Consider the following 15,739-nt stretch of genomic DNA (forward strand, 5'->3'; position numbering starts at 1 on the left):
TTATGCCATCAAATTGGCAAAAGCTAAAATAGTTGTATAATGTTGGGAGGAATATGGGCAAACAATAATCTTTTACTTTTTATTTTTTATTTTTTTAAATTTTATAGAATATATTTATTTAGTGGTAAGCATCTTTAAATTTTATACTAAAATTTTCCTTCTATAGAAGATGATCATAATATTTTCTTTTTTTTCTTTTATTATTATACTTTAAGTTTTAGGGTACATGTGCACATTGTGCAGGTTAGTTACTTATGTATACATGTGCCATGCTGGTGCGCTGCACCCACTAACTCGTCATCTAGCATTAGGTATATCTCCCAATGCTATCCCTCCCCCCTCCCCCCACCCCACCACAGTCCCCAGAGTGTGATGTTCCCCTTCCTGTGTCCATGTGATCTCATTGTTCAGTTCCCACCTATGAGTGAGAATATGCGGTGTTTGGTTTTTTGTTCTTGCGATAGTTTAGTTTACTGAGAATGATGATTTCCAATTTCATCCATGTCCCTACAAAGACATGAACTCATCATTTTTTATGGCTGCATAGTATTCCATGGTGTATATGTGCCACATTTTCTTAATCCAGTCTATCATTGTTGGACAGTTGGGTTGGTTCCAAGTCTTTGCTATTGTGAATAGTGCCGCAATAAACATACGTGTGCATGTGTCTTTATAGCAGCATGATTTATAGTCCTTTGGGTATATACCCAGTAAAGGGATGGCTGGGTCAAATGGTATTTCTAGTTCTAGATCCCTGAGGAATCACCACACTGACTTCCACAATGGTTGAACTAGTTTACAGTCCCACCAACAGTGTAAAAGTGTTCCTATTTTTCCACATCCTCTCCAGCACCTGTTGTTTCCTGACTTTTTAATGATTGCCATTCTAACTGGTGTGAGATGGTATCTCATTGTGGTTTTGATTTGCATTTCTCTGATGGCCAGTGATGGTGAGCATTTTTTCATGTGTTTTTTGGCTGCATAAATGTCTTCTTTTGAGAAGTGTCTGTTCATGTCCTTCACCCACTTTTTGATGGGGTTGTTTGTTTTTTCCTTGTAAATTTGTTTGAGTTCATTGTAGAGTCTGGATATTAGCCCTTTGTCAGATGAGTAGGTTGCGAAAATTTTCTCCCATTTTGTAGGTTGCCTGTTCACTCTGATGGTAGTTTCTTTTGCTGTGCAGAAGCTCTTTAGTTAAATTAGATCCCATTTGTCAATTTTGGCTTTTGTTTCCATTGCTTTTGGTGTTTTAGACATGAAGTCCTTGCCCATGCCTATGTCCTGAATGGTAATGCCTAGGTTTTCTTCTAGGGTTTTTATGGTTTTAGGTCTAATGTTTAAGTCTTTAATCCATCTTGAATTGATTTTTGTATAAGGTGTAAGGAAGGGATCCAGTTTCAGCTTTCTACATATGGCTAGCCAGTTTTCCCAGCACCATTTATTAAATAGGGAATCCTTTCCCCATTGCTTGTTTTTCTCAGGTTTGTCAAAGATCAGATAGTTGTAGATATGCGGCGTTATTTCTGAGGGCTCTTATTTTTATTAACTGTTGTTAAGAGAACAGGCTGATGCAACCAGAAATACTTAGTCTAATGATGTTTGGGCATATCTTATGATGCTGCAATCTCACTCTTGTTTGTACAGTATATTTGAGAGAACATCTAGCCCCAATTTCATAAGGGAACACATAGAGGATATTCATCACCATGGTGTTTGAACTAGGGATTGTCAAATATGACCAATGGGCCAAATATGTCCACAGGCATGTATTTGTGCACTGTCTATGGCTGCTTTTATGGTATAACAGCAGCAAAATCCTTAAAACCAAGACTTCAGAACCCCCAAAGCCAAATATATTTACTGTGTCACTCTTTATAAAAAATGTTTGCTGACCCCTGGTTTAAAGTATCAGGGAACATTAGACAACCTAGATGTTCCATTGCAGGGGAAAAGCTAAGGGAACTATAATGGACACACAGTATGGAATATTACGTTACTGTTATAAGACATTAACTACGTGAGACATATACTCATAAATGCAGTAAGATCCGAATGTAAGGAAGAAATAAACAGAACCAGTATACATGAATATACTTTTATAGAATTAAAAATACCTACATAACAACAACACTATACAATTTGCAAAAATATACAAAATATTAAGGTATCATATCAAAGACATTATGGTTGATAAAATGAGGAGAGGGGACACATGAATAAAATACACCATGAGAGAGTCTTTGTATGAGTCTTACAATAGAAGTATGCTATGAAATCAGAAGTGTGATTCACTCATGCCTCTATGCCTGAGATTCAAAAAATAAATGTGGAAAATGCTGAGTACAATGCTCAGTACACTGTGATTTTCAAAAAGCATGCATTACCATCATCATCATCATTATCATCATCATTATCACCTTATTATTAATCTTTTGAAAGTGAAACCCTAACCATGGAGCTAAAATCAAGAAAGAAGAACATGCTTAAGACAATCTTGTTGCATCAGTGAGCCTAGGATAATCGATTGACCGTCACCCTGTTTAGAAAAACTCTTTAGGGGTCAAAAGAGTTTTATGACTCCTTTTATGACTAAAATCTGTGAATTGATTGATGGAGAGGGTCAATTGTTTCCTGTCACAGTCACTATTTGCACTCGTCAATATTTCTGTTTCTTTGCCTTCCAGATTGGCTCTTTATCCTGGTCTTCCTTTTAGTTGGCCAGAGACTTGTGACTAGTTCTGACTGAGGAGCTGTTAGTGTAAGTGTTGTGTGACCCTTGTGGACCAGGGTATCAGTTGCTCTTTCTAGACCCTCCAGAACTCTCTATCCTGCTGGCACTGTGGCTAGCTATGTCTGCAGTGGTGGTGTCTCTTTAGTCCCTAGAGGACCACAACGACCAGAGCTAATGCAGTCCAACAATGGATGTGTTGATTGAAATCACTGAGATTTGGGGGATTGGTTGTTACCCAGCATAGCCTAGCCTATACACTGACTGACACACCTTCCAAATTTTCAAAGACCTGGAAGCTTAAAATTGGAAAGACCCTCAAATGCCATGCAATCAAAACCCCAACATGGGCAGAGGGAGTGAATGTTTAGAAAGAGAGGCTCAGCCCTAGTGATAAAGAGCCCACATCCTCCTCAAAAGCTCCTGTCCTTTTTCACTCACCTCTTATCATTATTGAGATTCTTCTGTTTGGAGCCAAATTTCACCTCCTGGCCACTTTGACTCATTTATATTAGTTCTGCCTTTATCCCTGTTTCACACAATAATTCTTCAGCTAGGGGAGTATGGTAGTCAGAAGAATGGTCCCCTAAAAGATGTCCATATCTTAATTCTTGGAGCCTATGGATTTGTTACCTCAAATGGCAAAAGGGACTTTGCAGATGTGATTACATTACGGGTCTTGAGATAGATAGAAGATTATCCTGCATTGATTGAGAAGGCTCAGTGTAATCACAAGGGTTCCTATAAGAGGGATGCAGGAGGGTTCGAGTGAGAGTAGGAGCTGAGGCAGTGGAAACAGAGGTCAGAGAGATGCCCCTGCTGGAAGAAACTTTGAGCCAAGGAACCCAGGCTTTCTCTAGAAGCTGAAAAGAATAGGAACAGATTCTCTGTACCCCCTCTCTACCAGCACTGATTTTAGCCCTGGAAGACCCACTTCATACTTCTCCACAAACTGTAGGATATAAATTTGTGTTGTTTTAAGCCACTAAGCTTGTGGTAATTTGTTACAAGAGGAAAAGAAAATTAATACAGTGAGATTACCATGTTTCTTTGAATTTTCAGTTTCCAGAAGAGTTGCCTTTTGCTACACCTGGTTTCTTTTTCAGTCTGGTCCTCTGATATTTTAAAAACTGGTTTCATCAATCCAGTTTGTAAAAATATGGGATTTCTAGAACTTTGTTTTTATTCTGGTTGTGACTTACTTAAGAAAGGAAATTGTAGCAAAATTAGCACTGCCTAGAACAGTCACCAAAGCAACACAGACTCTCTAAGCAGTTCATTGAACTTGGTACCTACCCAGACTCTAAATAAATATTTTTCGTAGTTGATATTGCTGCCATTTAGACAGATCTCCCCAATTCCATAGTCCATAGTTGTTCAGTTGATTTAGGGGGAATTAAGTGTGGATTTTATTGATTCCTTCAGATTACCAAGTAAGAGTTAGTTAATTCATGAGTCATGTATTTGGTCAAAACTAACAGCATTAATAGTCTGTGTTGGAACTATTAATGAGAATTCAAGAGTCTGACAAAACTTTGTCAGATTTGAGAAACAGAAGAACCTGCCTTTTTAGGGCAAAACCATATTAATAGCATTTTTAAAATAGATTTGTATGTTCTAGGGTCCTTATCGAATAAAGCACCTATTGCCTTATCCAAATCTCAAAACAATCATATGAAGAAGGGAGTATTATTATTATTGCCGTTTTTAAAACAACAAAATGTCATTAAGGGTTGCTTAAGCAATTCACCCAGTTTTCACAGCTAGCAAATGAGGGAGCTGGGCTGAAACCAGGCAGTCTGACTGTGCAGCTGGTGCCTTAAAACCATGCTACAGAATCACTCATAACGTTATAGCTGTATGGTCCTTACTGGCCTGTGGCTTAGATGTGTCTTATTCCAGGTCCAGAGGCTGCCTGGAGTATGTGGACACTGTCCTTGGAAATGAAATGACTTGTCAGCTCATTTTTGATGGATCACATTTCTTAGAATAAGCACAAAATATTTTCCATTTGCTAAGTGATTTTATCATGCCTCTCTGGGCTGGACTTTGGAGGGGAGAGAGGAAACAGGTTTCATGGTTAAAGCCTGAGACATACCTTTCAGGCAGTCATGGGTGAGGGGTTAGTAATGGGTGACTTCGGCCCCTCTTCATGCTCACCTGGCACAGGAAACTCTGGGTGGTTTGGCTCCAGCTCTTGAAAACAAGTTCCTTGTTTGCCCTCCTGAGTTGATGGTCTGGTGGAGAATTTGTCTGAAGGAATTTGTTCCAGGAAAGGTCCAGCTGCATTTGACAGGAAAGGGAGAAAAGAGAGAACGAGGCATAAATCTCTGGCCTTCTGCCTCTTGCTTGGGAATCTGTCCTTTCCAGCCTGTAAGTATGGAAATGAGTAACTGGTGAGTCTCAAAGCTTTGAATGAACGTCATACCCCTGGGCAGACATGTGGGCCCCCTGAGGAAAGAAATGTCCCTTTTCATAGAAAACATCTATATCCAATATTAAAAAGCTTACATTAGCCATTGGGCACATGAAAAAAACATTCAGCATCACTAGTCATTAAGGAAATGCAAATCAAAACCACAGTGAGATACCCCTTCACACCCACGAGGATGGCTATAATAAAAAAGACAGACAAACAAGTGCTGCTGAGAATGTAGAGAAATTGGAACCCTCATACATGGCTGATGGGAATATAAAATGGTGCAGCTATTTTGGAAGAGAGTCTGGCAGTTCCATAAAATGTTAAACATGGGTTAACCACATAACTCAGCAATTTCACTCTTAGGCGTATACCCCACTCTTAGGCGTATACCCAAGAGAAGTCAAAGGTTGATTGTAGCCTCTTGGGATATCTCAGCCATCTTGATAATCAGTGTCCCCACTTTTCTCTCCCCCTCATTTATTTAATGTTGTATGATTCCATTTTTAAGCTGCTGATAAAGACATACCCAAGTCTGAGTAATTTATAAAGAAAAAGAGGTTTAGTGGACTCACAGTTCCATGTGGCTGTGGAGGCCTCACAATCATGGCAGAAGGCAAAAGGCATGTCTTACATGGAGGGAGACAAGAGAGAAAATGAGGGCTAAGCCAAAGGGGAAATCCCTTATAAAACCATCAGATCTCATGAGACTTACTCACTACCAAGAGAACAGTATGGGGGACACAGCCCCCATGATTCAGTTATCTCTCACTGGGTCCTTCCTACCACATGTGGGAATTATGGAAGCTACAATTCAAGATGAGATTTGGGTGGGGACACAGCCAAACCATATCACATGCCCTATTCACTAACGATAAAAATCTGTCCAAGATGAACTACCAGCTGCCCACCTCTCAACCCCTTCCACTCAGCCTGCTTCACCCAGTTATTCTGTCTGCCTGGCCCTGGAACACTTTTGGGTTTGAGATGGACTCAAATTAGAGAGTAGCATTTTGTGGGACATCACAAAGGGAAAATGGGACACTAACTAAAGCCAATACCCCTGTCATTGGCAGCTATCAGAAATGAGGTGTGGGCCTCAAGGCAGAGTCAGAGTCATGGAATTAGAATAGTGGATGAGAGGTTGGGACCTAGATTTCAGCAAACAATAATGAAGGGCAAAAGGAAAACAAACTTCTCCAACATAAAAGAGAGGAGTCAAGCCCTGTGGGCCTGATCAACAGCTGGTCCTTAGTGAAAAAAGACATGAGTTTTAAAAAGAGCAGAATATGAAGTTTCACCTTAGATCCTGGGACTTGATCCTTGGAACTTCCGAAGGTTTTTGGATCCTTGGAAACCCTTAGGAAAAGCAGCAACTCTCTTTGAAGGGTTTTCTCTGTTGGCAATTATTACCTTAAAGTAGAATGTTAATAGTCAGCCAGAAGCCAGTTCCAAGCAATCCATCAGACATGTCTACATGGGTCTGAACTTTACTCATAAGCAAGGCTAAAATTCTGTCCTATGGGTCTGTTGGGTCCCATGTTAACCAACTTGAAAGTATCAGCGAAGGGATGACAGGTGTCATGTAATTCTACATCCTGATGTTTCCAGCTGATTGATTGATAGAATAATTTCTAGTTTCATTTCTTCAAGCTTTTGTTTTTTTCAATCAATCTCTTCTCAAATCCAAAGGTAACTTGTATTCTACAATTCTTATTTGTCTTTCCTGACTGTATAAATGTATTTCTAAGATTTACCACACACATTACTTACTTATGTGTAATAGGTAAATGTTTAAAATGTATTTGTCTGACAGATTTGAACATGCCTCCTCTGTGCTTTCTATTTACCATGTATTTTCTTTGTTCACTCCACACCCCATCCTATTTCCTGTTTTCTCTTCAGATGATCCAGCTTATTTTATGTTTTCGTGTTTGTTTTTCTTTGTCGGGAAGTTATATATTGCCTACTATTTTAGTAGTTATCATTAAAGTTTTTTTATGTGCATAATCATCTTAACAAAGTCTTAAATTAAGCAACCTGTCTCTTTCTTAGCTTCCAAAAAACCTTAAAATTCTTTAACTTGGTTTTACCCACTTTCCATTTTCATGCTACAGCTTCTAGTATCTTATTTACCCTATGATCTGCTGTCCACTAAATAAGGCATTGTTATTATTACAATTATTACATTTTAGAGCAATTTTAAAAGATTTGCCATTGCATTTACCAATTTCTTTTTAACATTGCTTCATAATACTTCTTCCTTGTTAGATCAATTTTCCATTTTTCTGAAGCCTGTCCTGGTGAAAGAAAGAAACCATTTGTGATTTGTGCTAAACATACCCATCATCTTCCATAATTGCCTCAGCAATTTTGCAGAATATGAATTATTATCCCCATTTTACAAATTAGAAAAGAAAGGCACAGAGAGGAAAATGACATGCTCAAACAAATCACAATACTGATGTATTTCAGATGCAGCCAGATATTTTGATAAAATACATCTTTGAGTGGCGAAAGAAGCAATTTGCTTAGAGTTAAATAGAAATATAATGGGTTCATCAAGAAACAATTGGGGGGTTGCAGAGTACTTGTAGACAGGCCAAAGTGCTTAAACTCAAGTGATTTGTGCAAAAGAAAAATCCATTATTCTGAAAAAATTGCTTTAACAGAGAATTTTCAAAGCATAAGAGTTGTTACATTCAGCAAGAAAAAGGGAGGGAGTGGTGAGGGAAGGTAACGTTATCACAATGACTAACTTGACTTTATTTTCCCCAAATTTCTAAATCTTACAGTTTAAGAGGAAATGCTTTGGGGAGAGATAATCTTTAAAATTTGTTCACTGCATTGGTTTTTAAATTTTCAAAAGCATATCTGAATTAAAGGATGGATAAGACACTTTACATCAAAATTCACTCAGGGCTGATATGTGATGACTGGTGATGTTTCTAAGGATAACATTATGAAATTAGTTAAGAACAGGAAAAAGACTTTAATAATTCATTATCAGTCATTACCTTTGGTGGTGTTTGTTATTGTTTGTAACCTGAAGACCTATAGGGATAATAATAACAATAGAAATGATAATTACATTTTTAAAAAATAATTCAATACTAAGCAGATTACAGACAAGCAACACGATTAGACAGGCAGCACTCAAGATAATTCACTCAGTCTGTTGATGGATTCCACACTTCTCATAAGCATAAGATTCATTTTCACAATTAAAGCTAGATCATTAAAATTGCAGCCTGTTGGCAGTAACACTTTTTGCAGCCCAAATTCTCTTTAAAACAAAACTTGTAGTCATTAGAATGGTGACAATGTGCTGAAAACACCCACTTTGGCCTTCCCTGGGCATTCTGTTCTTCCTGGCTTGCACTTCAACAAGTTGACAGCCTTATTTTGTAGGCAACTTTAGTAGATTGTCAACTCTGGCTACCACCTATCCTCAGGTAGGATGGAGCAGAAATTTTATTCCCTTAAAAAAACCGCATCTTGCCTAATTCAAGGGACTGTTGTGTTGAGGATTCAGGGTGCAGGCACCTGCTGCCCACAGGCCTTTGGGTGGTGTGAGAACACCAGAATCAGGTTACCGTCACTGAGTTGCCAAACCACATTCTGATTCTAATGCTGGCCAGCTGTGTGCCCTTGGGTCTTTGACTCAATCTTTCTATGTCTTGGTTTCCTCATCTCTAAAATGAAACTGCGGTACCCAAGCCCTAGGACTGTTAAGAAGGTTCAGTGAATACAAGTGAAGCTCTTCCTGATGATATCTCAAGCACCTTACCCTATTAGTACACATGAATCTTCCTCATTATTGGAAATGATTGATTGAAGACCAGTTTTATCTCAGAAGGCTGAGTTTTCACATGAAGACTTTTTTATTTTCTGTGGTTTAGTTACCTCTATACAGTGGTCAACAAGAAAGTTGCAAATGGAATCAAATTCACAAAAATACATTTCATGAATTAAATATTTTCATGGGCTTTGCCAAGGGCACACAATTAAGCTCTGTGTTGCTCGATTTCTGGGTGCTCATGCATCTGCTCCTTCAAAACAGGTTAGTGCTTTGATCTGATGGGCCAGTGTGGACAACGATGCTGGGCTTGTGAGTGGCCTCCGTACACAGAGCTCCTGAAATGCAAGACCAAGTAGGCCAAAATTTCAGGCTGTATATGTTCAAAGCTTTGCTAAAACTCAGTGTGGCAGACCTTCAGCTTCTACTCTGTAAACCCTAAAGGCCATATAGCAGTTAACTGAATGTTCCAGAATTTCCATGATGTGTTTCTGTTCAAAAATTCAGTCTTAAAATTTCGTTTTCACTTGAACTTGACAGCCCCTGACCTTGTATTTTGGAGTTGGAAAATGTGAACCAATACACATAATAGCTAATTCCCAGTGGGGATTCTAGACAAAGAAGATAACGTACTAGAGTGAATATTTGTTATCTTTGTAAATATTATCTTTGTAAATAAACAATAGCAACACAAAGTTCTATAATGCTGATGACTTCATGAACAGGAAGAACAGAGGAAGAAGGGAAAAGGGATGAAGTCTTCTAGCATTGGACCATCCAGTGTTGTAGTCACCAGTCATATGTGGCTAGCAAGCACTTGAAATGTCTCTAGTCTGAATTGAAATCTGCTGTAAGTGTAAAACGCACACCAGATTTCAAAGAAGGAGTTTGAGAAAAATAACAGAAAATGTGTCATTGATAATTTTTGTATTGGTTTCTTGTTGACATAATATTTTGCCTATATTGGGTTAAATAAATGATGCTACTATAATTATAAACGATGCTACTATAATTAATTGTATTCACTTTTCACTTTTTAAATACGGCCACCATAACATTTAAAATTACATATTCAGCCAGGTGTGGTGGCTCATGCCTGTAATCCCAGCACTGTAAGGGCAAGGTGGGAGGATCACTTGAGGTCAGGAGTTCGAGACCAGCCTCGCCAACATGGTGAAACCCCGTCTCTACTAAAAATGCAAAAATTAACAGGATGTGCTCACTTGTTCCTGGGAGGCGGAGGTTGCAGTGAGCCAAGATCATGCCACTGCGCTATAGCTTAGGCAACTGAGCGAGACTCTGTTTCAAAAATAAATAAATAAATAAATAAATAAAAGTACATATGTGACTTTCATTATATTTCTGTTGGACAGCTTCCTTTAATACACAAAGATAATTTCCTATTTATTGTATGTAAATAGTGTCTTCAGCAGAATGGAAGCAATTTATACTTATTTATTTACATATGCTTGCCAAAATATCAATTTCCCAAAAAACATTTCTCACGTAGACCTGAGGTCAACCTAAACCCTGTTTCTGTTCCACACTCACAAATTATGAATTAGTGAATTCTAAATGAAAGCAGGCCCACCACATTTAGCACATGAGATAAAGAGGAAATAATGCGACTCATCTGTAAGCTTAAGTTAAGTTTGGTTTAGAAAAGCAATGAGAAATGTGACAGTCCCACTCTTTAAACAGACAAAATGAAAAATCATAAGCAAAACAATCTATGTGATTGTATGTTCTCACTCACATGTGGGAGTTAAGCTATGAAAATGCAAAGGTATAAGAATGATACATTAGTGTTTGAGGACCCGTGGGGGAAAGGGCAGGGGGTGGTGACGGATAAAAGACTACACATTGGGTACAGTGTACACTGCTCAGGTGATGAGTGCACCAAAATCTCATAAATCACCACTAAAGAACTCAGTAACCAAATGCCACCTGTTTCCCAAAAACCTATTGAAATAAAAAAATCAAAATTAAAAAAAAAACCTATGTGGATTTAATGTATCATTCAAAGATGCTTCAGATTTTGATGACAGAGGGATGTGGCAGCTATTTACCATTCTGGTACCTGTAAGTACCTACAGGTTTTAGGTTTTTTATCCTAGGATGCTTCCTTCATTCCCATGAGATGTTTCAGTAGAGAGGAGCCAGCGCAGCTTCCAGTCAGAGCTGGAGAAGCGCAGAGACTGTACAGACAGCAGGATACCCTGGATCAGGCTGGATTAAGTTGCCTGTCTCTGTTCTCTGCATCTCCAATCCATTGAGAACCTTCATTGAAGGAAATTCTCTTCCCCTAGCCTGTGACATTCTGAGCTTATTCTGTGAATTTTCTTCATGCCTACACCTCTGTGCAAATGACAGTAATCAAGCAACCTGGCTGTACAGTGTTTGGGGAGAAAAGCACTTGGCTCAATGACATCTGCAGCCTGCTGCCTATACTGAATTGCTGTGTCCTGAGCCAAGGCTGAGGATGCCTGTTACAATAAGACCTCTTAGCAAGAGACGGCACACTGAAGACACAGCTCTTTGTCAGAAGCGATGACCAGAGGTAAGACAACAGTGTTCCAGGGCACCAAAGCTGGCATATTATTGTACAGCCTTATTGTTAAATGCTCAGGAAAGTAACATAAAATGTTCCAGAAAGCATATATATGATGGCTCTAGGAGTCAGTCAGAGGAAGAGATTGGGAAAGGGTGGAGCACAACAGCTTTCAAGCAAGGAAGGCAGGGTGGAGGTAGCTGGCAGTAATATCAGCAATAACACTGACAGTAACCACTGGCCTATTGAGTACTTACTTTGCATCAGATACTGTAATTGCTTCATGTGTATTGGCTCATGTACTTTTTATAACCATCCTACTGTTCTCTCTATTTTATAGACAGAGAGCTTTGGATGGTTGAGTAAGTTGCCTAGTATCACATAGCCAGGACATAGGTAGGCAGATCTAGGATACAAACGGGAGTCTTTCTCACTCCAAAGTCTCTGAATTTTCCACTGTGCCAAGAGGACAGGTCATGAATATATTCTATCCTCTTATTCTTCACCACTTTGAGAAATTTGTGAGCATTGCCCATGTAATTACTATTCATCTACAGCTCTAGATAAGTGGTCTCAAATGAGCCCCAGAGAACATTTGGCAATGCCTGGAGACATGTTTTGCCACCACTGGGGTGGCGGGTGCTACTAGCATCAAGTGAGTGGAGGCTAGGGGAGCTGCTAGACATTCTATAACACAGAGGTCAGCCCCTCACACAGAAAAGTCTTAGCCAGCCCCAAATGTCAATAGTGCCACATTGAGAAACTGCACCAGAGGAAAGGCATGGAAATCAATGCAGAACCCTATCTCATCCTGCCCCATCTAGGTCACTCCATAGCTTGGTTGGTCATTCATTCATTCAGTCATATTTATTAAGCACCAACCAAGTGGCCAATGCCATGTTAGGCTCTGTGGACATACATTATTAAAACATCAAATGAAGTTATTCAATATTTGTCAAAAGTATAGTTAAAACCCATATGCCACAGGTCTAAGTAGTATAGAAAGGAGGATATTTCAGGGAAGTAGTTGATACACAAATGTTTTGAGAATCCAACATGCTGCTTTACATGTTTTAAGAAAGATAAGAAAGAAGATTAAAAAATATTTACATATCAGTGCATCTTTATTTGAAGTTAAATCTATACTTAGTCTGTATCCTGTCAATGCTATGTTTTCGTCTAACTGAGTTTACTAAAATGTACAAAGAGCTTTCCTATAACATTTAGGAATTTGTTTTAATGTATCTACAAAGAATATTGACAGCCTTCAGACTTAAGTGTCAGTCATTGAAAATTATATTTGCTGGAGTGTTTGTTGTAGAAAATTACATTTATTCACTTACAATTGAAACAATGGCTGTCATAAGAGGTGAAGTGTGTTCATCTATCTTGTATTAATTAGCCCATTGACTAAGGCTTCCCTAAGCTTGTAATTAACCAAGTCTGTCTGTGAGAACAGTGGTATTAAGCTAGCAACACTTTTGAGAGTCTTCTTTGCATTGATTTATGCAAACAAACATTTAAAAGTAACTTGAAGAGATTAATTTTGTAAGACATCTCACAATCTTCCACAGCACAAGGAATTCAATAGTTAGAAAAAAAAAGTGTTTCTAAACTCAAAAGTTAACTGCTTGGCAAGGGAAACAAAAAATCAAAGAAATAATCACAATAAGAATTAAAACTATAACTGTCATGGCTACAAAGAAAGAGAGACTCAAAGTATAAGGAGTAAACAGAATGGGGAACATGACATGGCCAGTGGTGTGGAGTTGGGGGAGGCTTCTCTGAGGAAGTGGTATTTGAGCTGAGAACTCACCAAAGTGCAGAAGTTATTCCAGGCAGAGGGAAGAGTATATGCAAAGGCTTGGAGTCAGAGACAGTTTGGTGGGCGGTGTGCCTGGTTCTAAGGGAGTGTGGACAAGTGCAGTGTCTGATAGTCAGAAGGGTAGGCAGAGCTTGTACATTGTGGGTCCAGGCAGGCCACATTACTGGGTTTACTTCTTTTTTATATTGACATCAATGTGGAATAATCAAAATGCCAAAATCAAGAAGGCAAAATGAGAATGTTCATTTTGAGAAGCTCACTGGGCAATGAATGGATCATTGCAGGAGCTGAGTAAAGGCAAAGAGACCAACTAGCAGATAATTGTGCCAACCAGTATATAGATAATGATGGTTGGAAATAGGTCAATGACAATGAAAATGGGGAAGAGTAGGTGGATTCAAGAGAAATTTGGGAGGTAAAATCCACAGGGCTTTATATACAATGGATTGGCTATGATGGCACGGGCGAGGGAGATGGAGGTGTTTGTTAAATACTTTTTATTGGGCTTAAGGGTTTATATCTCATACACTGGGGACAGCAAAAACATGGCTGATGTTATGGCAGAAGTTTCGTGAGCACCTGCACTGTCTCCTATGAACAGGAAAAAGGGAAAGATCGTTCTATTCCCCTATAGTGGTGTACAGTATTACCAGGTGCCTAATATGGCCTTTAATATAGAGGAAAAGAACCATCAGCTCTGCAACAGGAGGGGAATTCTGGGGCATCTGAATATTTAACTCAAGGAATTCAGGCCCTGCCAAATCTCAGTCACAATGCAAACCTTTATACCCCATTTCCTTCTGTGCCAATAATGACATTTGGAACAGGAGGGAGAAGTCTACTGAAAAGCAAGATCCTCCTCAGCAAGCACATTGGTCAATCCCTGCTGGGCTGTCTGTTTCAGCTATTAATTTGCATGGGCTGCTTCTGGACTGATTCTGTGATGGATCTGTTGCCAAGATCAGCCATTAAAAGCTTACTTGCATTTCTGCTTTCTAGACATGTCATATCATGAGGCCAAGAAAGAGTGGACAGGTACATAAGCTATGGCCTGAAATGGAAGGAGATGAGTCTGTTGCCAACAGCCAAGGAGAGTAGTAGGGGTGACTAGAGGGGAGGGGAGGAGTGGAAATCAGGTTTGAAAGAGACAAGGTCTCAACCTGAGCCCAGGCAAAGGACAGCCACTCTCTAAAGTGTGGCAGCATGGGTTTCTAGAAGAACTTTGGAGTTTGACCTCGGCTCATATCCCAGCTCTGCAAGAAGTGAGCTTAAGGCAAGTCATTTCACCTCTCTGAACCTTGGTTTCTTTTGAAAAAAAAAAAAAAAAAAAATGGAAACCATCCTGTCTACTTTGGATGGTGGTGAGAATGAAGTGATGTTGCCACAAGCATTGGGAAGCCTTTGGCTTGGCTCCAGGTCTGTCTGGCAAACACTTGGTTTTAAGGAAGTAAAGGCCACAGATGTAAGCCTACCACCATGCTTTTGCTCACTGACTTCCTCCCACTATCCTAGACCAAAACCATATGGACCCCTAAATACTCACAGTCTTGAGTTCAATGCATTATCTGAATCAGTCAGTTTCTCCATTGACTGAAGGCAAAGTGGCTGAGATAGACATTTGGATGGACCTTCCTGTATAATGTAAACCTATCTCTCTGAATCAGCTGGTGAGGTAATGGGGTGTTAGTCACATGCACACTGAGTTGTTAGGGAATATTAAATGACATCACTCCACTTGTTATTATTTCATCTGTTAAAATTAGGTTTCTGCCTGAAATTGCTTAGTGACAATACTCCTGGACTTTCTTCAAAAGCTGTAAAGATGGCCTCTCGAATTTAGAAAACGCTGAAATTGTTGGAAAGTTTTACTAAGCTGTTTAGAATTTAAAACAGCAGCTTCCAGCAAAGCAGTTGAGAAATAAACAGCATCTCAGGGTGTTTTCCAGTTCCTTCATGAGGCAATAACTCAAAATCTTGTCACATTTGGAAAAGGAGACAGATCAAATGTCTAAACATTCTAAGTGTCTTCAAAGAAAATACTTCTCCCTCTGGAACAGTGAGTCTGGTATTAAACAACATGATTGCTTGATGAGTTTTATCATGGCGTCTTAGACCTGGGAAATATCTTACAAGTCATGTCTCAGTCTTTTTCCCAAGTCAATGAAAATGTCATTTGCTTTATAAAGAATGGGTATTTCACAAGTTTCCCTTGTAAATTTTTTAAAGGCTAAATTCATTCATTGCAAGGAAACTCTGGTAGATGTTTCATTCCCATTTTTCACTTTCGTCTGCACCTGTCCTGTCCAGGTATTAGAAGAGACAATCACTTTCTCATCTGAGAAGATCCTCCCTTCTTTCTGACATGGTCAGGTTCTATTTTATCTCAAAGCTTATCTTTTTTATAACCTCCTTTGTGA

At 39.1% G+C, this 15,739-nt stretch overlaps 2 long non-coding RNA genes across 3 annotated transcripts in view; one reads left to right on the forward strand and one right to left on the reverse strand.

Moving 5' to 3' along the window:
- The window catches only part of LOC105372614 (uncharacterized), a 58,827-nt gene that overhangs the window by 23,629 nt on the left and 19,459 nt on the right, over positions 1-15,739 (forward strand). The window lies entirely within an intron of this gene.
- LOC105372613 (uncharacterized) lies at positions 70-7,453 on the reverse strand. Its single transcript, XR_936713.3, has 3 exons — positions 7,375-7,453; positions 6,449-6,560; positions 70-5,011 (listed from the first exon to the last, which is right to left on the reverse strand). It is a non-coding gene; the product is annotated as an uncharacterized LOC105372613 (long non-coding RNA).

This window comes from Homo sapiens, chromosome 20 (assembly GCF_000001405.40).
Source record: "Homo sapiens chromosome 20, GRCh38.p14 Primary Assembly".
NCBI lineage: Eukaryota > Metazoa > Chordata > Mammalia > Primates > Hominidae > Homo > Homo sapiens.